At 40.5% G+C, this 22,549-nt stretch overlaps 1 protein-coding gene and 1 long non-coding RNA gene across 9 annotated transcripts in view, besides 1 other annotated feature; one reads left to right on the plus strand and one right to left on the minus strand.

The window, feature by feature from the left end:
- SEMA6A (semaphorin 6A) overlaps positions 1-22,549 on the minus strand; it is a 131,269-nt gene continuing 108,720 nt past the window's right edge. For all 8 annotated transcript variants that reach the window (XM_005272042.5, NM_020796.5, XM_006714663.3 and 5 more), the window contains one exon: positions 1-4,257. In XM_005272042.5, the coding sequence (XP_005272099.2) occupies positions 3,059-4,257 (1,199 nt within the window). In that variant the 3' untranslated portion in view covers positions 1-3,058. The remainder of the gene's footprint in view (positions 4,258-22,549) is intronic.
- The window catches only part of SEMA6A-AS1 (SEMA6A antisense RNA 1), a 24,176-nt gene continuing 5,570 nt past the window's right edge, over positions 3,944-22,549 (plus strand). The window contains exons 1-2 of the long non-coding RNA NR_109879.1: positions 3,944-4,237; positions 6,074-6,263. This is a non-coding gene — a long non-coding RNA (SEMA6A antisense RNA 1). The remainder of the gene's footprint in view (positions 4,238-6,073; positions 6,264-22,549) is intronic.
- Positions 11,150-11,229: a silencer, noted in NCBI's record as "silent region_16258". NCBI's record gives its function as "represses an Ori minimal core promoter by ATAC-STARR-seq in GM12878 lymphoblastoid cells {active_cell/tissue: GM12878}" and the evidence as "EXISTENCE:reporter gene assay evidence [ECO:0000049][PMID:35858748]".

A 22,549-nucleotide genomic window follows, 5' to 3' on the forward strand; every position in this document is an offset into this window, starting at 1 on the left:
TAATATAGAACAGTCAGGTTTTATTACTTTTAAGTAATAAAGAGCCTTTTCCTTGCTTTTCTTTTTTCCCTTTTTTTCTTTTCTTTTTTCTTTTCTTACAACATACATTAAGTCGTGAATCAGATGTTAGGGGATGTGGAGATGGAAGGAAAATTGGTGACATCACAATATTTTTACAACTTTACAACAAATATAAATCTGAGTTTGTTGCATCTACCAGTGTCTAGCAAGGGTGGAAAGCAAAGGCACACTCGGGTTTATGGACCCTCCCCCCACACACAGTGGGGAAAAAAACTGGGGAGAAATACTTAAATGCAGAAGACCAGCTCAATACATGTGGGTATTTTAGGGTTAACACCAGAAGTGATGGGTTGTGGGGGTGTAGGAATGTGGATGTAAGTTTTGACACAGGTCTCCTTAACAGCTGAGGCAGTGATGCCTACAAACACTGGACAAGACAGCCGCTTACGTCAATGATGGGTGCTGCACTGCCAGTACTCTCGGGAGTCAAGCATGGGAAAGAAGGGGGCAGGGGGATACAGACCCATCACCTTCCTAATTTCTGCATTTCTAGAGAAAATTCAAGGAAGAAAACAATATTTCAGGTTCTAGGAAATACTTCAGGGTTTCAGGAGACAGAGTTCACAGGATGTGAACATGGATTCCATTACAAAAGCCAAAAAAAAAAAAAGTAAAAACAACAACAACCACCTACTCCTAAACAACAGCAAAACTAATGGACTTTTGGAACAAAGGGCTCTCACCCACCCTCAGCTAAGTACTCAGGTCTGAAGGCAACCACACTGATTATGGAGGCTCCACTTTTTCACTATCCAACTCAAAACTGTCATTGTCAGTCTTTTTTTGAATTCTTTTTAAAGACAAAACTAAACCCAGAAGATCGAACTGGAAATAAAAGCAGACAAAGAGACCACCAAATATACTGTTTAAAAAAACAACAACAACACTGCTCATGGTTTACAGTATGTGGACAGTTCCTTTGTTCATGATAGAGTAAACAAAAGTCCCTTTTGTGTGCTTGAGCAAATGAAAACCAAGAGGAGAAAAACACACACCACCTCCCATCCCCTAAAAACATAATTAACAAAATAAAAAATAAAATAAAAAATCCTTTGCCCCAGTCAACGTTTTTGCAGCATCCATTGTGGTCGGCCTTGTACTTGGAGTTACTCGTTAATCACAGCAGGGACCAGCCTGCCTGCATCTATTTCCATGTCATTTCTTTGTGTGCACTGCACGTGTGTGCTGTGCACATGGCTTGGAGACTCCTCCCAGGTGTCTGCCCAACCGCGCACCGCCTGCTCTCTAGCCAGTGGACGCAGCAGAAAAGAGGAATGGGACGTTAGTCCCTTTTCTGCTAGCAAATAAGGATATCACCGTATTGAAATAATCTAAGGGAAGCAGGGAGCTCTTGAGGATGAAAGGGGATTTGACACACCCACAACAACACTGGGGTCCATGCTTCGCAGCACAGCCAAAGGGTGGTTCCAGTTGGCACAACTAGAAGGCAGTGTGAATTGGAGGGTGTGGTGCTGCCCAGCGTTCTCAGGCTGTCGCATGACAACTATCACCACTGCATTCTTCCATCTGCTTGACTCCAATCTTTCAGAGGGCTGGAAGTGGGGCAGAGGGTGGGGAAGGGAGGGTTAAATAAATATCTGCACTTATTTCAAAAGGGGGAACAGTTGATCATAAAGAGTTTACAAGTGTACACAACTCAAGGTGTAAGGCACAAATTTACATGTGGAAAACAGGCTATTCACAGATGTAACCCCACGAAGAACCCGTGTGATCAAATCATTAATTTATGCAAGGTAGCAGCCAGCATATTAGTTCACACCATTTGTGGATTTTGTTTGCTGTCTCACATGCAAGGTGAAATGGGATGGCATATTGCAAGCTGGTGCCTTCACAGAAAGTCAGAACCATGGACAAAACCATGTTGGCATCAATGAGATATGATGTGCCATTCTAAAAGCTTTCTCTCCTGATTGCTTTAGAAATTAGGATCTGGAAGGACTTTAACATGAATTAGTTTTTTTGCATGTTTATAGGCCAGAGACCTGACCAGGCAATGAACTGATAGATTTAAATAAATATTCCCCTCCTAACTTTTTCCTTTAGCTACAGACCAGACAGTCCAAACACAAAGCTCAGAATTCCAGCTCCAACTTATTTACTCAGTGAATTTATTGTAAAAATAAAGAAACTCAATTATTCCAGTTAATGGATTTCACGTTAAATAGTTTAACTTTCAATGGGCTTTCTGAAGAGCTGTTCATAGGATGATATTTGGAAGAGTCCTTTCCTTAAGGAAAAAAAGGGTGAACAATAAATAAAGAGTTACTTGCGTTAACGGTCACGTTATTTCATTAAAAGAGAGGAGGAGCAGAAATCTATGACATAGTTGCCCAACATGGCATTTATCTGCTGCAACAGAAAGCTGTAACACTGGCGGGCATTTCACAGTATTTGCGCATAGTAAACTTCTGCCATTGTTAAAGTCTGAGTTAGAATTATCAATGAATTCTTTTTTTTTTGTCTTTTTAAATTTTCTTGATTTTAAAAAATGTATTTGTGTTTTGCAGGTTGGAACGCAAACCCAGTCTGGCCACGTCCCGTGAAGTTGTGGACAAAATGTTTCAGTTTCTGTTCACCTCTGTGCGTGTGTGTGTATGTGTTGTGTGCATGTGTGTGTGTGTGTGTGTGTGGGGGTGGGGGATGGGGTAGGTATGTGCTTTTGGCTCATGTTTGTGATGATAACTGAAGTCTTTTGTGGGTCCGACCTGTTGTAGGGTGTGGGGGAAAGTGAAGGAAGAGAATGAAGGTGAGTCCCCGCCGTTGCAAACCTTCACCAAACCACGCGGCCCAGTTTTCGTGAGTACCCCTGTGTCCCAGAGAGGAGGACCCAGCGTCCTCGGCTCTGCCGCAGGCCTTCTTGGTCTGGTGGGTACTCGAGGCAGTTGAGAACCTTGCTGAGCTGAGCGGGCACCTCGCCTTGCCTGCTGGTTCGACACCTGACCCCCTCCCCCTGGGATTATGTACACGCATCATTGGGCTTCATGGATGTGGAAAGGGGAGCAAAGGATGGTTTGGGGGGTACGTCCGGCTTTAGCGAGGGCGTACGCTTCAGCCCCGACCTTGTCAGTGAGTTGTAGGCGTTGAGGCTGGGCTGCCTCGAGACAGTCACGGCCTGGCCAGATGGCTGGGAGCTGTGCACCTGGATGGAGTCCACCCTCTGCGGGGCGGGCGGCGGGTTGTCTCCCCTGCCAAAGCTCTGGTTTCTGGAGAGGTGAGAGGAATTGGAGGAGTTAGTGTTGTTTCTTTTGAGAGTGGTGGCCTGGTGGCTTCTCGTGAGCGAGTTCGTGGGGTAGCTCCTCTTATAGTCAACCCCGTAGGAAGAGGAGTGGTGCATTTCCAGCCGCTTGCTTAGACCGGTCTGAGACAGGGAGGCTCCCGGGGGACCCAGGGAGGCCTCCCGCTGTGGAACTTTGGGGGGCAGGCTGTCCAGGTTCTCCACAAGGTTCACCCCATGGTTGGGACTCTTGCTGCTGAGATGTTCCTTGATGGTCTTATACTCCAGTGTGGCGGCCTGGTCCTCCAGCGCCATCTGGGCCACCTCGCTCATTTTGGGCTGGTCCACGTACTCATGCTGGTAGCCCTGCTGCGTGATGGGCAGGACCACCACGCTGGGGATGTGGCTGGGGGAGGCCCGCAGGGGCAGGTCCGTGGGAATCACAGGGGAGCCCATGGGGGGCATGTCCTTTGTGCAGGCATTGATGAGGTTCTGGTTCCTCTCCCACTCGCGGCTGCCGCGGCTGGGCTTCCGCTTCTGCTGCAGCGTTGGGGTTGACTCTGGGGTGGGGAGGGCCGTCAGGTCCAGGTGGTGCTGGTCTGCTTTAATGAGCATCTTGGCCGTGTTGCCGGGAGTGGCGAGCTTGCCGTTGTGCATGAGTGGCGTGAGGATGGCCTCCGGCTTTGGGTCTTTGGATTGAGTGTCCCCAAAGAGGCCGCTGAGCTTGGTGACGCTGCTCATGGAGCCCCGGCGCGAGTGGGTGAGCTCCTTCTCCTTGCGCTGCACCACAGCCACGTCTTTGCGCCGATGATCACAGACGCAGTAGACGGTGATGCCCGAGAAGACGGCCCCCATGACGAAAGCCAGGATGACTGCAATGGCCAAGAGGGTGACGGGAACCAGCTGGTCGTGGCCTTTGAGGTAACTTTCCCGAATCACTCCTGCAATAGACATCGCATATGGCGTTAAGAAATGAAAGCACACCCCGAGGCTTGTTTTTGCTTGGCATTCACCTTGTTAATTAATAACAGTAGTAAGTGACAACAGCACCTCTGCACAACTTGTCTTCCAAGCTCAGCTTGCCAAACATTAACCAATTAATCCTCCCCAAGCCCCTCGTGTGCAGTATGTAAATGGACTCCATTTGTAGCCTTCTTTGTTGTCTAAAAAAGTGCTGTTCAGGCCGGGCACGGTGACTCACGCCTGTAATCCCAGCACTTTGGGAGGCCGAGGCGGGTGGATCACGAGGTCAGGAGTTGAAGACCAGCCTGGCCAAGATGGTGAAACCCCCGTCTCTACTAAAAAAAAAAAAAAAAAAAAAAAAAATTAGCCAGGCGCGGTGGCGGGGGCTTGTGATCCTAGGTACTCCGGAGGCTGAGGTAGAGAATTGTTTGAACCTGGGAGGTGGAGGTTGCAGTGAAGGGAGATCAGGCCACTGTACTCCAGCCTGGGTGACAGAGCGAGACTCCGTTTCAAAAAAAGAAAGAAAGAAAAGTGCTGTTCACTCTTTCCAGTACCTGCACTTTCTACTCTGCTTCACTCCAGGGAATATGGGAGGTTTTGGCTTTCAAAAGTTATCTTTCTTTCCTTCTTTATGGCTTTTTAACCTTCCCTTCCTAGAACTGGGATAACCAAGTTATCCTGAGTCTGGAGGAAGAGGCAACAATTTTATGCATGTTAGACAAACAAATCACACACTCTGGGCTTCCAGTTGGGATCTTTTCCGACGGCCCCCTTGTGGCCACCGGAGCCTCCGTCTGGGGAAAAGTGTTTGCCTTTTAAGCAACTAGAGGAAAGAGAGTGTGTGTCATTTTTATTTACACTGAGAGAATATAGCTAAAGTTCACAGACTACAAATGTTTGTGCTGATTTTGCATCACCTCTCAAAAAAAAAAAAAAAAAAAAACAGTGCAAACTCAATTTCAGGTAACTATCCTGAATATTTGAATGAAGCTTTCTCACTGGAACTGAAAGAAGATTCAGAAATAAGACCATTTGGGGCCCTGTAGTGGGTTTGAGAAGTGTTAGGTACCATTATTGCACCTAGAGTTTGCTGTCACAGTGGGATTTTTCAGCAGAGCTAATCTCTTCAATTTAATAAAAATTATGTGACTACACCCATCCGTAATCTTACACTACATTAACCAGGATTCAGTGTTTCTGAAGGAAGGTGCTTTCGCTATTCCTGCTTAATCAGCCACCCAGCTGAGTGACTCTAATCAAATGCAAACACAGAAGCTTTTATTTTTTAATACCAAGTGAGAATACACATCACAGTTGTCAGATCTTAAGTGCTTGATGCAGTCGCTAAAAAATAAAATCTCTAATACCTCAATTCCTGCCTCTGGAGAGTGAAAGAACATGAATACATTAGAGGCACTGCATGGGCTGAGGAAATGTAAACATTGTTCCTATTATGGAAATGATAGCAAGACAGAAAAGGTACCTTCTCTGGTCTCGGGAGACGCATTTTTCATCTACTAAATCAACTCTTTCTGGAATATGTTTCATGTATTTTACTGGCAGGTATCAGTGGCACAGAATTAGAATGAAAGGAAATAAAGATCTCTACCCCTTCCCAAGCCCACAACACGCAACCTTAAACTTCTACTGAAATGTTGTCTTTGTCACAGCCGAGACCTTGAAGCTTTCTCATGGGGGTTTTTCTGCTAAAATATTTTGATTTCTGAAGTGATGGTTTTAAAACCCAGAAACCTTAGCCTGAAAAGTACATTCTCTTTTTCTTTCCTTCCTAAGGGTCCTCCTCCCTTCAATTGTGACATCACAGTTGGTTGCTGTGGAAATGATTGTCCTGTGACAAAGGATTGTGACTTAAGTAGAAGCAGCAAATATCTCTTAAGAAATAAAGATTCTGTGATCCAACAAATACCCTTGGTAATAAAAGGCAGTCAAGGCAATTCACCATAAGGAAAGAGTGTACAAGACGGTAAGATATCAAATAATTTTCAAATGTGATACTTTTCAAATATTTCCAGATTTATCTCCATCAGCTTTTAAGGGGTAGAAACTGAGAAGCAAAAAACAGCCGGAAATTTGGCTGTAACTCACACCTTTTATGTGTGAAGCTCCCCAAACAGTGGGGTGTCCTGCATTCAAATATATTTTAGTACCTATTCACCAAGGAAATGTGCTAATGAAAATTTTCTTTCTTAAATTTGCATTTCCTTATTATGCTAAAATAGCTACTGATTTTTCTTCAATTTTGATTATGTATGGGGTTCTACCGAACACCGTTTTTAACCCCCTACATATAATTGCACAAAAATGTACACCTGTGGATAAAATGGTTTTAATTTCTCTCATTGACTTGGTGATTTCAGTGGGAGTTGAACACAGGCTAGACGGCCCCAGTAATGGGGTGGGGGTGTATTAGGTGTTTTTTTCATGGCAATGAGTATTTCATGAAACCCTTCCAGGCTACCAAATTTAGGGGGACTGGATATTCCCAATAAATGTGTATTATAATAGGAAGCTATTTACAATTGACTTTGGCATTCTACAATTTAAACTGCCCTCTCAGTTTAAAAGGAACGTGGAAAGAGTAAAGCTAGAGCAATTCATTGGTTTCACTGGGAAAACTGCAAATTTTTCACATGTATCCATTGCTTCTTAGCCTTACTTTTAGCTCCCAAATATCATTCTTCTTTCATGTCTGAAGGTCCTTGGCTATTTTAGACTCATGAAAGCTACTTATTCTTTCACTGGGAAGAACTCTTTTTTAGTGGATGATATTTGAGTTCAGGTTTTTGGTTGTTAACAAGTTAAGTAGGATCTGACCTTTCAGGAAAATGGTATCTCAGACAGATTTTTTCCCCCGTCTCATTTTGTTATATAAAGAGTGGCCTTAAAAACATTTTTGCATGTCTTCATCTATCCATGGGGAGGCAGAGGGCTTTCCTCATCTGCTTGTGTAAATTCAGAAACGTCCAAAGATGGAAACAGATCAGAGAGTAAGTTGAAAGTGCAGTTGAAGAAGATAAGGTAAACGTTATTTTTGGAAATGCCTTTCAAACTTAAAGCTTTCTGCTTATATCATGAAAAAGGCCAAAGAAGCATTCACAGAAATGATCAAGTCAACTTTGTGGAATAGCCATTGTGAAGGCTTGGAAACAGCAGACTTGTCAGTAGTGGTGATAAAAGCAGCTAGAGAAGATCTCAGTGGGCTTGGAATTGCAGGCTCCCACTTACTGGCTGGGTGACCTTTTGGCAAGTGACTTAACATCTCTGGGCCTCAGTTTTTTTATCTGTAGCATGAGGTGAACACACCTAATCTTACTGCCTTACTGGATTGTTACAAGAATCAAAGGAAATAAAAAATAGGAAAGAGCTTAAATGCTGTAGTTTGCTGGACAAATCTAAAGCTCAAAAGAAGCCACAAAGGAGAAGTGGTGGGTTAGTGGCTCACAGAGGGCTTCCAAGTGATAGTCGCAGCTGCTCCATTGGATTCCATTTGCTATTGGTCTCCCATGGGAGAGGAGTAGACCTGTGCTTCCAGGTCCAAACTTCGTGCCTTCTAAATGTAGTCAAAAAGGTGATATGAGATTTCGAAGCAATATAAGGGAATGCATACTGTTTCAGGATGCCTATAGTTACTGAATTTTGAAATAATTAAAACAACAGAAGTGGAAAATGTTGGCAATTATAGTTGGATTCTCAGTGGAGTGCAAATCCTGGGCAAGTACCACATTTTTTCGGCATTTATAACCCTTGCCATCCACAGAGCTCTTAGTTGGGTAACTCAACAAATGATGGCTGAATAAATGGGTTTTCAATACATTGTAGAGCTATTTTTAAATGAACTTCTAAACTTGGGAGGTAATCTTTAGAGTGACTATCACCCTTGCTTTTGAAGTCATGGAAATAAATTCTATCTCCAATCATATAAAAGAATTTTAATAGTAGCATCTATCAGACAAACAAAAATAAATCTATAATGGTGCTCAGTATTTGCTCAAAACAATAAGAAGAGAAACTATTTCAAAAATGAAATTAGTTCTGGGAAAAATCCAAAAGAGTCGATGACGATAAATGGGTTATTTACAACAACAGAGTGCCCCAGTGGAACTGAATAATTAGAAAAAAAAAAAATGCATCTCTGCAAAGGGCAAAGGGCAAAGGGCAACAGGCTAGAGCTGAGTATCCCTTGCTTCAGATGCTGCCTGGAAGCCCTGGGCAAGTAAAGGGCCCTTGGAGGGTGGTGTACTCCCCTCCGCAGGTATCCTCCCACTGCAGAGAGAACAATCAGAGTTGGCTTCTCTACCCTAGGGTCTTGAAATTCCTTCCTCTGCCAACCCCTGCATCCTCTTCTGCTCTTACCAATTGAAAATGGGGCATTAGTAATGAAAACAGTATTTGAAAAATCCTTTGCATTGATTCATTAACCACCAGCTATTTCTCACCAGTCATAAGGTGCTAAATGGTTAGTCTTTCCACCTTCCTATTGCAGGAAGCAAGGCACACCCTGGCTTAGAGATTTCTCTGAAATCATGTCTTAAATTGGCAGAACTGAGAAAGAATAGAATCTCCACTGTTTTTTTTTTTTTTTCCTGAGGTGAGAGTTTTCAGATGCTGGAGGGAGACCTCAGAGAGGAAATTTGAAGTTCTTTAGAGTCCAAAGCAATGAAAAGATTATGAAGGACCCTGCCCCTAGACCCTGCAACATGTGATTCAAAATAAGAACAATTGTAAACTGAAAACTAAGAGGAAGCCCAATACAATTCTGACTTTTCCTATGATGACCATGTTAATAAATTTTGAAATATCAAACACTACATTCCTTATTTTAAAAAATGTTTTCTAGTAGTCCTGCTCATGGATACTATTCCGTGCAAAGGGAACCTAGCACCAGGCTCTGAGACAATTTGCTTTAGAAATGATGTTTTCCCCTAACTTAGGGTTGGGTTGTTTCTTTATTATCACTCTCCTAGTATAACAAGGTTTTGGCTCCAAGCATCTTTGTGGCTGCCTTCAGCAAACATTTACCAAGCACTGCACTAGGTGTCGGGGAAGGACAATGATGAATGAGGCATAAACCAGCAGGGAAGAAGGCAAGTGCTTGCATACAACTCTGTCCAAAGTGTGGCTATGTCATGAGTTACATCACTTCTGCTTCAACAGTGGGCAAAAGCTTTACATTGGAAATGGCATTTGAGCTAAGCCTTAAAGATGCACAGGATCTTAGCTGGAGCAGAGAGAGCAACAAGAACTGAGCCTTGGAGGGAAGGAAAGGGAAGGCCGTAGTGAGTAATAGCAAATGGTCTAACTCCCTTCTAGTCTGTTAGGCTGGAGGCATGAGCCACCCTTCCATACTCAAGCTTGCTTCATGGCTCTCATACAGGCTGTTCTCTCTGCCTGGAATGTCCCTACTCATTTTCCCACTCATCAGACCCTATCTTTAGGGCTCAGCTTAAATGGGGAAGCCTTCTCTGACTCCTTAGGCCAGTTAAGTTCTTCCTTCTAAAGTGTCCCCAGAGCTCTGCATTCCCTTTATTCTAAAATCATCACTAGTATGATACTTGTTTTTCTCACCTAGACTGCTAAAACTCACCACTGAATCTTCAGGCAGAAAGGTGCTCAGTAAATATCTTTTAAATAAATAGTAAAGGAATGCATACATGAATGAGCACTTGTAGAGAAAATACAAGAGCAAGAGCTAGAAATACCATTTGGAAGGCTGTGGACAGCCTTGAATGATTAAAAAAGAGGTTTAGAAGATCTGCCACTCATAGAAGGAAAGTTCTTGGTTAATTTATCTGCAGTTTCTCTTGCCTGAGAAAGCTAACTTTCGGCTTGCTCTGTTCCACATTGAATCCATTATCGCAAAACTCTTGGCTTCAAAGAGTCAGTATCATTGCATCAAAAGCACAGCTAGTCTACCTGCATTTATTATTACTGTTTTTAAAATTAAAACTCTCAATCTTAAAGTATACTAATGCCCTGCACCTTACACAAATAGCTGGGAGATGTTATCTGTCCTATCAAAATGTGAAGCAAACAGACAAGCAAAAATACGTAAAATTAATCACACCTATTAAGCTAAATACAAAGGAAGAGCTCTACTCACCCCCACCCCAATTACCACCCTAAGCGTGTAAGACACAGGCAACCAGTAACCTAACTCGAAATGGTTAAGTGTGCACTTTCCCCTCTCACCCCCTTTCACTGGACGGCCCGTTTCTGAGCTGCTGTGATATGATGGATGTGTCTGTCTCCATAGTGAAGTGATTAATAGGCATCTGTGTAAAGTGGACCCGGTGACCACAAAGACAACAAAGCCTCTCTGTGTCCTTTAGAGAAATATGCAAAGGCAAAAAGGAGGATGGACATTTCCTCCATCACTGAGCCAGAGAGGGTTTGTGTTGGGTCTGAGAGCTAAGAAAGATGGCAAAACACCAAGAAAAGCCCCGGAGTAGCATCCCCTAAAAATAGATTCTTGATTCTGCTTTATAGTAAGACAAGCCTACAATTTCCTTGAAATCCTCATAACAACTTGAGTGAATGGAATCTAACAGCCCAATTTTTCTTGTTTGCAAATCTTACTGCAACAAAATTCCAGGCTCACGGTCCTGCAAGACAGTATAAATGAATGAACTAATCACTAGCCAAGCATCGCCCCGCTAACCACACAGGGCCCGCTGTAATCCCTATTAAGAAGAGAAGAAAACAAACAAGGGAAAAACCCTAACTGGAGACAATTTATTCTCAAAGCCACACCCCAGCCAGTCGAGGTGACCACGCTGAAAGTGAAATGGGAACTCTCTGTGGTTATCTGGGCAGGAAGCAGCCTTCTTCTTGTCTTACGGCATAATGTGAACCAGATGGCTTAGGAATAAACTGACATGCCAGCAGCCATGGAAATAGGCTTGGAGTTTATAACTTAAAGTTTCCTTTTCCTTTAAGTGTGTGTGTGTGTGTGTGTGCATGTGTGTGTGCGCGTGTGTGTGTATGTATGTGTTTTTCCTGGCAGGCTACAGATTAGGTACCAGGAGGGGCCATGGTCTTCAAGATATATAAAGTTAATGACTGACCATGCCAAAGTGGAGGTAGCTTCCTGGCCTGGCTGTTTAATGTCCTGAATTCAGAAGCTATTTTAAAACTCACATATTGAAATAATGCTTGGAGTGGTTGACTGTAGATGAACCCACTTCCACTTCGATCACCTTTAAAAGTGATGCATTTTTGGTTGGGATGTCATCACAGGGATAGAAGGGAGAATGAGCCTGGAATTCATTCTATTTCATTTTTTTAGAGAAGAAACAGCTTCATTTTTCCCTGTGTGCTGGGAACGCTCAGTTCACTGTTCCTCCACTGCTCTACTGCTTTAGAAATGGCATTGCCAATGGGAGTGCTACAGCCAGAGCACGGGCTGATGTCTAGACTAAGAGTCATGATAAGATAATTTTTAAAAGCCATGCCCTGGAATGCTGGTTTGTGGTTTCATGTGTTAGAACTGTTACTGTCCCCGTAAAGGTAATGATTCTTTTACATTGGCAAAGTTTTAGCAGAGTCTGCAAGGCGTATTTTCCTGCTTTTTGAAGTTTTCTTTCATCAGCTTTCTTAAATAAGACGAGAAACACAACATCTAAGTGATTTCTAAAACCAGACAAAGCATTTCTATTTTCCAACTTCCTGGTCCCATCTTTTTCCTTTACTCTCTCAAAAGGCATCAAAGCCACAAAATGGAGAAGTGGACCTCCTTAAAAAATTGTGAAATTTGGGCAAGTCTTTGCTTGGATTATTTGATTACTTGCTTTGAATTTTCTCTATAAAGCAAAGATAAAACAGATATGAAGAAACAGGTCTGTTTCAATACTGCTAAATCTTCCAACTTGAATTTTCTAGAAATGTAGTTCTTGAGATCTGGGTTAAAGATGAGACTGGGTGTTACTGGTTAAGAACATACACTTTGAGCTCATAAAGACCTGGGTTTGCGTGTTGGCTCTACAAATAGCTAACTGTGTGACTTTGGGTATGTCACTCGGTCTCCAGGCCCCAGTAGTGTTGGCTATAAGATGAGCATTGTTGGAAGGACTAAATAGGTTGAATAAATGAACACAAAGCAGTTGGCATTGTGCAGAAAACGTGTTAATGCTCAATTAATAATGTAAGGACAGTATTTCTAGAATGTTTGACAAGTTGCCTGTCTTGTACAGGGTCCAAGATTAGACTATTTTAAGGCAACACTTTGGTAGGGTTCAACTGTGTTAGCCAAAAGTGTAAAAATAAGGATTTACAACTACAACAAAACCTTGACTAGTGAACTTAAATAAGACAGCCCATCAGCAACGTGGAAAATGTCTGAATCAGTGCCACTCAGCATTAACATCACCTGGAACTAATTAGAGACAGAAATCCTCAAGTCCTGCCCAAAGTTTCAGCCTCAGAATCTCTGGGTTAGGCCCAGAAACCAGAACTCCAGATGATTCTTAAGTTCTCTAAAGCTTGAGACATGCTGTCCTGAAATAACATAAATAATATTCCAGAAAACATATCTAAGGTCTCATTGGATAATTTCTTTACTGTGGGTATCATGCTCTGACAAAGAATAGAAATCGACCTTGTTTTATTGGAAAGACAATCAAATTCCTAACAAACACTTTCCCTTAGTATCTGTCAAAAGCATGGCATATAGCTCAAAATACTGGGCTGCTACTCCTGCAAAAGAATCAACCCAATTTGCTTGCACCAAAACTGCTGAAACAATGCTTGTGGTCTCTATTTGCTCTGGTAGGAAGACTTGGAGGAGAATTTCTAATACTCCTCATCTCTGTAACTGTGGCCGTCAGATAGTGGTTGGTACCACAGAGCTCACGTATGTCCTAGATTGGGTCAGCCCAGGCATAACTGGTTCTCAAGTGCAGAAGAAGCAGAATGCTTGATGGAGCCCACCATTGGACAGAGTGGCTTCCTTTAAAGGCCTGCATCTAATATCATCTCAAAACCCACTCCCTCAACTCAACTTACAGCTATTAAGCAACGTTTGAGAATGGTTTAGGGGATGCCAAAATCTTTACCTTCATCTCTGCATGACTAGACGAGAGAAAAGAAACTCACGAAGGTTCTTCTCCTTTATATTCCCGGGGTGAAAAGAGGGACTTGAGTTCATGTGTCATTCACCAAAGTAAGGTCCTGCTTTATAATAATAAAAGATGCCTAGCACAACAGTTCACTCAACAGAGCTCTGTGCTTATTGATCTGCTGAGTTGAACTGAATCTGCAAATCCATAGAATTACATGAGACATTTTAAGTTACATTAAATTTCTGCTGTGTGCTTTTAAATCATGGAGTGCGAGACCCATCAGCACTTAGGGTATATTTATTACCTTAACAAATGTCAGATGATTGTGTCCAGTGCTATCTATTATTTATGAATAACAAGAGGCTGTAAGACTGGAAATGACATGCTTTAATACGTCCAAAAGGTTAGGCATAATGCAGTTTGCTGCCCTATAAATTTCTCGACACCATTTTCCTTTCTAATAAAGCATTGTCAGTGGTTGACTATACCGAACTTCCATTATTTCTATACTGTTCATAATGACTGCCTCTGATTTCAGTAAAAAAGAAGTAATTGCAGATATCTGTTTGAAAAGGAATGCATCCTTTTAAAAAATATGAAATTTAAAAATAATTGGAGTGGAAAAAAATTTATTACCCCATTAAAAATGAATCTCTTTACAAAGATAGTTGTCAGGCTGTAGACTTATAAGAGCTTAAGAAATATTAATTAAGGGTGACAAACCTTCACATTGCCTGTAATTGGCTTTCTGACACCAATTAAGATCCCATCTACTGTGCACCCAGTATATTTTAATATATCCACTACATTTCGGTAGTATACTTCAGGGCGTTTCCACAATTTAAAGTGCTAAGAGATTTACATATGATGAGGTTCACATGGCTCCTTTCAGTCCCTAGAGAAGCCCATACACTTTGCAAGAGTTTATCTATTACTTGCATAACCTGTATCTCCCTGGAACCAACAAATGAACACACCTTTTTCATCCTCTGTCTTTCCAGGATAATGGCATGCGTGATGTAGTTAGTTTGAGCAAGCCCTACGTAGTTTGAGGCCAGTCTCAGGTATAATGTCAAGAAAAGAGAAGCTATTCTCAGGAAATTACCTGATTTCCACTGTTTTGCCCTCTGTGGACTAGTTTGTCTATGGAGCAGTGAAGTTTGCAAAGTAAAACTTCTAACAAGCCTTTTAAAAAAAACTTGGTGAAACTAGGCTATCAGAAAGAAAGGTCTGAGACAAAGCGGATATTATTTTCCCACTTTTCCACATAATGCAAACTACTAATTGATTCTTCACAATTTTATCGTTAGGACAAAACAAAATCTAGATGAACACAGTGCCGTTGAACCAATTAAAGAGCAAATTTTTAACCACTCCAGATGTTCTGTTAATAAGATCACACTTAACCTAGTCCCCGTAGTCCTTGAAAGTTCCATTAAGCTGTCAGAAAACTTTGTCATTGTGTGTGTTTTTGTAGAAAAGATGGGAGAGAATGGAAAAAGAGACTGAGGGAAAAGGGTGGGGGTAAAGTGTCATGTCAAGTAGATGCAGCTTGAAAAAGTGGCTAGAGATTAAAGGTGAGAAGCACCTCTAGAAGGTGAATTGATTTTTTTAATACCCTAAGGTTTAAGTTGGCGTTTTAAAAGCAAAAGTTCAAGTCTCCATAATCATAATTTAAGTCCTTCATTTTTTGAGAAAATGAATGTTAGGTTAAAAAATAAAAGGTTAGTGGTATCCCTAGAAAAGAAAACTCAAATACGGGTGTGCAAATTCAGGCAGGCAGAGAGATGAAACAGCTTTCTACATGGCTGACATTTAACTTTTTTTTTCCTGCTACCCTTTCCACAATAATCTCATCAAGACCTTAGATAAATTCAGCAAGTTGTCAAAAGGATACAAAATTAATTATATCAAATCTACATCTATGCCCACACTACTGAAAGAACAATTACAGCCTGCCACTTGGGCTTCTCGGCTCTGGACCCTCTCCCCCTGCACACGTTCAAACATGGAAACCCACATCATCCATTTGAGAGCCCAGCACCTGACTTGCTCACAATATCATTTTCCTCAGTCCCTCAAAGAAAAGACGGAGACTACATATAGATTCCTTTTCTCGTAGGTGACCAAGAAATATTAATATAGTAAAAATAAACAGTGGCATCCTGGATTATATTATTAATTAAGCCACCGTGCTCAGCTGAACCCCACTGTTTTAACTAAAGAGAGGAAGAAGTCCAAGTTTGGAGTTCAGCTTGCCTGGGGTTTTACCTAGGATAGAGCTAGATAGGCAAGAAGCATCTACCAGGAAAATGCCAGCGATGTGTAGTAACAGACACTTTAGATCCAAAATTGATGCAAAATTCCATTTCCCAAACTTATTGTGTACATGTAATTAATAACCTAATATGATTAAATGAACAATTTATTATATATGTATCACCTGTCAATCTTGCTATCTTTGTCTTTCCCCACTTCTACCCTCCTGTGGTCCCTTTCTTCCCAACGTCTACCTTCCCATCCTCCACTTCCTGTTGCTAAAGCCAAAACTCCTTGGCATGGCATTTAAGGTTCCAGGCTAGGATTTCAATCTCATTTCCCATTCTAGTCGTCCATACACTTAGTCACCACACACTCCTTGCCTCTTTATTATTACACTCTGTAATTTCACAGTGTGGTATCTTGGTCATGGACTTTATTCAGCTTGGAATGCCCTTCCTCCTGTGAAATCTAACTTTTCCTTCAAGACTTTGAAAGGTCTTTCCTGTGTCCCCCACTTGGAATTAGTTGTGCCACCCCTTAGACTCCCTTAGTACTCTCCCTCCCCCTCTTTCCTTGACTTCCCTTACTGTCAGACTTCACTCTGCCCCAGCATTTAGATCACCTTTGGGTATCCCTCACTAAACTGTAAGCTGTCTGAATATCAGGTTTATGTGAAATTCAAATTAGTATCTTCTGTAACACTCAGCATAAGGTTTACATATAGCACATGTTTGTTCAATTTCTGTTGAATGCAGGAAAAAAGAAACAAAGGAAAGGTTGCTGTCTTGCCTTTCTTTGAGATGAGATTGTCAGCATTATTAAACTATTATTTTTTAGTGCTTTCGGAATTCCAGTTCTACCCCTCCAAAGCCATGAAAATGATAAAAAAATAAAAATAAAAATAAAAAGGAGGGCAGCCATATAATTTAGGAAGGAAAAAGGAATACATATGGTTAACATAACAGCTGTTAAAATTTTGAGGTTAAGTAAAACATAAAAGAACCAATAGTTTTAACCATGCTCCTCTTTAAGAACAATTTGATTTCTGAGCCTTCCTTACTTGAAAGTGGCATTTGAAAGCCTGTTTTCAATAATAATCTTTAAATTACTCTTTATCACATTTCAAACACATATATAATATTTCATAGACATTCTCTGAACTCAAGTATGCTAAGAATATTTTTCGTGGAATAAGATTTTTTCTTAAACATATCAGAATATGGATTATTCTAGATTTCTAAGAGTTAAAGGCCAAATGTAATATATAAATTAGATCTTATATATTCACTGAGTAAGTTATCAGTGACATCTTCTATAGAATTGTCAGGTAGCAAAAAGTTTAAGTACTCTCAGTTAATTCGGATAAACAAAAATGTTTTAGTTAAAAGTATGTCCTATGCAATATTTGCGGTATATTTACACTAACAATTATTTAGTTTTGTTTCAATATTAAAAATATTATTCAGGTGTATCTGCAATTCAAATAAACTGAGCATCCTGTATTTTGCCTAGCAACCCTACTCTTCTTTTCCCAAACAGTGTGCTTTAAATGACTCCCACAAATATTCTTTAAACCCACCCAAACTTTCAGAGGTTAAAATTGTTAATCTCTTTTTTTTTTTTTTTTTTTTGAGACAAAGTCTCCCTCTGTCACCCAGGCTGGAATGCAGTGGCACGATCTCGGCTGACTGCAACCTCCACCTCCCTGGTTCAAGTAATTCCCTTGCCTCAGCTTCCCAAGTAGCTGAGATTACAGGCAGTTTAGAGTAATAAAAATGATGCTAAATCTTTACTCTCTAAAAATTAAACTTTTTAATCTCTAAAAGTTTAGAGCAATAAAAATTATGATAAATCTTTATGGGTCGTGTATAGCACAATTTATAAATAAAATACTGATGAACTAAATATTAAGAACTGTATTTTTCATAGTCAGCAACAATACCAGCTTATGTACCAAATTTCTTACGAACTTTGAAGATGCCTTTCCTCTAACCTTCAAAATCAGAAATAAGTGATCTCTAATTCAAAAGAGTTTTTGGAACCGTCACAATCAATTCACTATCTCTTCGCGTTCCTTGCCTCTGACCATGCACGTTCTACCTGACTCAGTTAATTTTCCATTGTTGAGTGGAAGTGAAAACCCTTACCCTCCCATTATTAGTACTCCCCAAGACAGGAGCCCTTTTTCTGAAGTCTCCTTGAAACTGCCTTGCTCTACTCTCACATTTAAAAACGACTGCAATAGGATCATTTTTACTAATAAAAGGAATGCAAATTAGTATGAGTTTTTTTTTTCTTGAAATAAAGCTTAGGCTTAAAAAAAATAAAAGCCTGAGTTTGCCAACACTCCCACAAAAATTTTAAATATGAGTCTTTTACCAAACATCCATCACTTTCCTCGTCTTCCTTGTCAGGTGATGTGTTATTGCTACAATATTGGTACTGAGGGAAAGAACTGAAGGAAAGGAGCTGAAAAACTGTTTCACAGTTCTATGTCCTTGATGTGTTCAGCCAAGTTGTCTTTACTTGTCTAATATATTTTTTTAAAGTCTGTGGTGTGTGGTTTTGGCATTTCACAAAGAGAATGTTGGTCATAAAGGCCTTTTGGTGTGCTTTTGTGTCTACCTGTGTTCCATCTGTCTGGTGTTTGATATTTCTTGGACAGGAACTACGTCTATCTCTAATACAGCCTCTTACTCTTTATTGGCATCCAAATTGCACCACAGAGCCAGTGATAAATTCTGCTTGAGACACCTCAGAAAATGTTTTTGTTAACGGTAATATTACTGAAGAAATGGCAGAGAAAATTAAGCCCAAGTTTAAGAGTCAGGAAAAGAGGAGAGGCCTATTTTTCTTCCTTTATTACTGTCATCAGGAATAATTTTCTCTGTCCATAAAATCACTTACATATGACTTGATAGGAGCCAAAAAATTACCTTCTGTGTTGGGAGAACCAGGGTGCTTTAAAATCCCAAATCCATTACATTTTAAGCATGGGAGAGTGTTAAAATGTAAGAGTAACCAGGGGGTAGGATCTATGATTAACTATACTCACCTAAAATGAGATTTCTCAGTCTGTTAATAAAGACAGCTGACACTGAAGGCTTGGAACTTAGAATAGGTAAAGTTTGAACGGGAGAAAAGGAGAAGGGTCAAGGGTAAGCTATTGCCAGGCCGGGCAACACTGTGTAGCACAAGAGTCCTTCTGGATATCAGCAAAATAGATGAAAAGTGGAAAGGCTTTTCATCAACTTTCCCTAGGCTACAATTTGAGTAATAACTAGCGGCAGACCACACTAGGGTGCTTGCTGCTGGTGTGGAGAAAAAACTTGCCAGATGCTTAACAAGCCTAGAGTGGCTAATTTCTTATTAGTCTAAATCCATGTTACTTTAAATTTCTATTTCATGAAACTTTCCATCCCCAAACACAAAGCTCAGTAGGTAGCAAAGAAATCAGAAGGGCACTGGATTGTATAATTACAACACTTGGAGTGACGCATGTATTCACTTGGTTTTGCAAGCCCAGCCAGGAGAGGGTATAGTGGTCATCAAACCTCATTCTTCCAAATGTCAGAACAAAGTTCTTGGTAATAGTTTAATCTTCCCTGGACTCCTTCAATTGCTACAGTACACAGTCACCTAAACTTTGGTCATTCAACTACCAATACTACAATTTTAGTCATAACAATGAATCTCACCTACCATATTATTTACTTAGTATTTTTATATCCCTCATAACTCCTGCATTATTTACTTAATATTCTATTTAAATTACCTTTAAAATGTATTTCAAAGGGAAACTTGATATCATTATCACAAATAAAAAAAAAGTGTCACTTTTCAACGATAAAATGTAACCAGTAAAACAAAAATTAACTTAAAGCAAAACAATGTTAATTCCAGCTAGATCCAGTTGGAAGACAAAGCCCCAGTGTAAACCCTATTCTCTCTTTGTCAAAAAGAGATAGTAGCAAGTTTAGGGAGTTGTTAATGAGAAAACACCAAACTGAGACTTTTCCTTTCACATAATCAAGAAGATAACGCAGAAGACTGAAAGAGCATTGAAAAGGGCATAAATTTCCACCACATGACTCAATACTCTTGAAGGCCATCACATCCCTGCCACCTAAATCATGCCATGTAAGGTGCTACTCATCTCCCTCGGAGGAAATACTGCTGTAGGCTACTGCAAATTTAAAGATTAAATAATTAACTATAAAGAGAATTATTGATAACATCTGTGATTTATAAAATTCCATTTAGGATTGTGAGATGTGGACAATACTAATCATCTTTATAGATCTTATGAATCTTACCGGAATATTATTTCCCAAACTAAAAACTGCTTATACAAATAGCTTGTACATTGATTAAAATATATTCAACATTTGCTATCCATTTTAGCTTATTCACTTAATCTCTAATTTAAATTCTGTTTCTGTAATACATCTTATTCTTGTCTTTAATGTGCATATTTTCTGGACTAAATGTAATAATGTGATAATATCTCACTTTAAAGATTTCCCAAAAGATAGAAGCATACTACAACTCTGGCATTTCTGATTAAATGGGAACTGCTCTATATTTACTATTTTGTCTGTTTTCTGAGAGCTCACAAGAACTCTTTATTATAAAATAAAGTCTGAAGTAGGGGATTTTTATTCTATTCAGGATATATTCTTGTGTCCTCATAGCAGTGGTCAGCATTTACATTTTATGTGTATGCTACACAGCTCTCTTGGCTGCTCTGGATGTGGCTGATTTCCTTACATACCTCATAGACTTCTTGGAAATCAGCTTTAAAGTATTGTTACTTTTGGTAAGGAATAAGAGGCACAAGAATAGCTATTTGTTCTCAGTATTGTTTAACCTAAAAAAGAAAGCTCTTATTTCTTTTGCTGTGGGAAGCGGTGGTGGAGAATAAGCCAGATCTAAAAATAAACTGGATTTTCTTTCTTATTTATATGTGATTAGAGCCCCTTTGTAACTACCCATTACGACCTCAATAGTTATAGGAGGAATAAATAATATGTATTTTTTAATGTGGCAAAACCAAGACAGAAGTAGTCAGGGCTGCATCTCATTTATCAACTTGGTGATTAAAGGGCTCGCTCTAGAGGCTCCAGACATCTAGAGAACCAGAGATAAAACAGAGCAGTTGGCTGTGTTTTTACTAATGAATCCAGGGCTTGAAAGATATCAGGCAATTTTAAAGAAAAGCAGCAAGGACAAGAGACATTAGACAAGGCCAGTAGGGTAATGAAGGGCAAGGCCAGTTACTGAGAGAGAAAATTACTTCATTTTCTATGATAATGCTTCCGCGTGCTGTGCAGGTCTCTTCTCACGCTTTGTTAGTATGACTGTATATACATACAGCATCAGAATGCTACTCACGGTGTAGAAGGAAAGAGCCTTGGAACATTCCACAGAGGGGCAGAGGGTTTGGGTCTGTTATTTTGAAAGGGGGAGGCTAAGAACAATGGTAGCAGAAGGGGGTTAGGCTGCAAGGTGAGGAAGGGTGTTTCGACAGAATGTGAGGGACGCACAGGATTAAATCAAGACGAAAGACATAGCAAGGAAAAGAAAGAAAAACGCAGCAAACATACTCTGGAAATGGAGAATTGTTTGGAGGATGAAGTGGACAAAGAATGGGACCAGCTCACTGGCAGTCAGCATATCTGCAGAGTAGAGCCATGGGCATGCCTTGCTCACTGGCATTTTTACCAGTGGCCAAAATAAAATGGGCAATGGACACTTGACTCCTCAGTGAGCTGGTCAGCGGGCACATTTTCTGCTTAGTGAGGAAATGTGATGGATTTTAGAAACAATTCCAGAGTATATTTAGCTCCTAAAGCTGGGGCACACAAATGTCACATTCTCATGAGACAATCGACCCAGTAGAAAGAGCACCCGTCACAGGCCCTTAGAAAACCCATGAAACTCTTGCATCCCGGGAGATGCTGCATACACGGATGTGACATCATTAAGGCACCGACATCAGGGAATGAAAAGAAGCGAGGGCATCACAGATTCGTTCAAGTTAAGGGACGCCATCATGAGTCAGAAAAGGAACAAGACTTTTCCAACGGAGTAACGCCATCACTAAGTCATAACACAGTGCTTGGCAAAATGAAACAAAAGTTGAAAATAAATCATGAACATTAAACAAAAAACAATTTGGAGCAAAATGGAAATTAAAATCATAAAAACTATGATAAAAGGAACATTAAGCTACATCTTTTCTTTAAAATTTCTGCACAACAACTCATTGGCATTGCCCCATCAAACATACAACCAATCACAGAAAAGAAACTCAAATTTGACAGGGCAAGGCAAGGAGTTACTAGCACAAGAACAGTGATCATGTTAAACACCCATGCAGTCACCTCTGCCACCATTGTTTGACAATATGTAGACTGCTTCCAGCTTTGTCAGTATAATAAGACCCAAGAGAATGAACAATGCCGAATTTTAAAATGATGTGTCAAAGTGTTAAATGGACTTTTTGAGAACCTCCATTCCTTGGGGGGAGTTAACGATTAGAGAAAATTCACGCTACCCCTCTCAGTGAAATGAAAAGAAAATTACTGCAACCAACAGCTAGATATTTAGTTGGCATATTTAATGCTTTATTGGAAAGGCTGTTTTATTTTGTTTCAGAAAAAACGCAGTGGGCAAAAACAAAGTGATTTCTACTGAGTTTTCTCTTCTTGAGAATACAGTCAGGACTAGCACATCTGAGGTCAGGAGCCACACATAACAAATAATGGCATATGCTAAGGCTTGTAATCTGTCCGGACAGTTTCTCTTCTACCTGGAGCTTTCTCGGGATGGAAAGAGCAGGGAATCCCTCAAACTGAAAGAAGGAGATGAGACAAAACCAGCTTAAAAAAAAAAAAAAAAAAAAAAAAGATTTGGCCGGGAGCAGCAG

Source organism: Homo sapiens, chromosome 5, assembly GCF_000001405.40.
Source record: "Homo sapiens chromosome 5, GRCh38.p14 Primary Assembly".
Classification (NCBI taxonomy): Eukaryota; Metazoa; Chordata; class Mammalia; order Primates; family Hominidae; genus Homo; species Homo sapiens.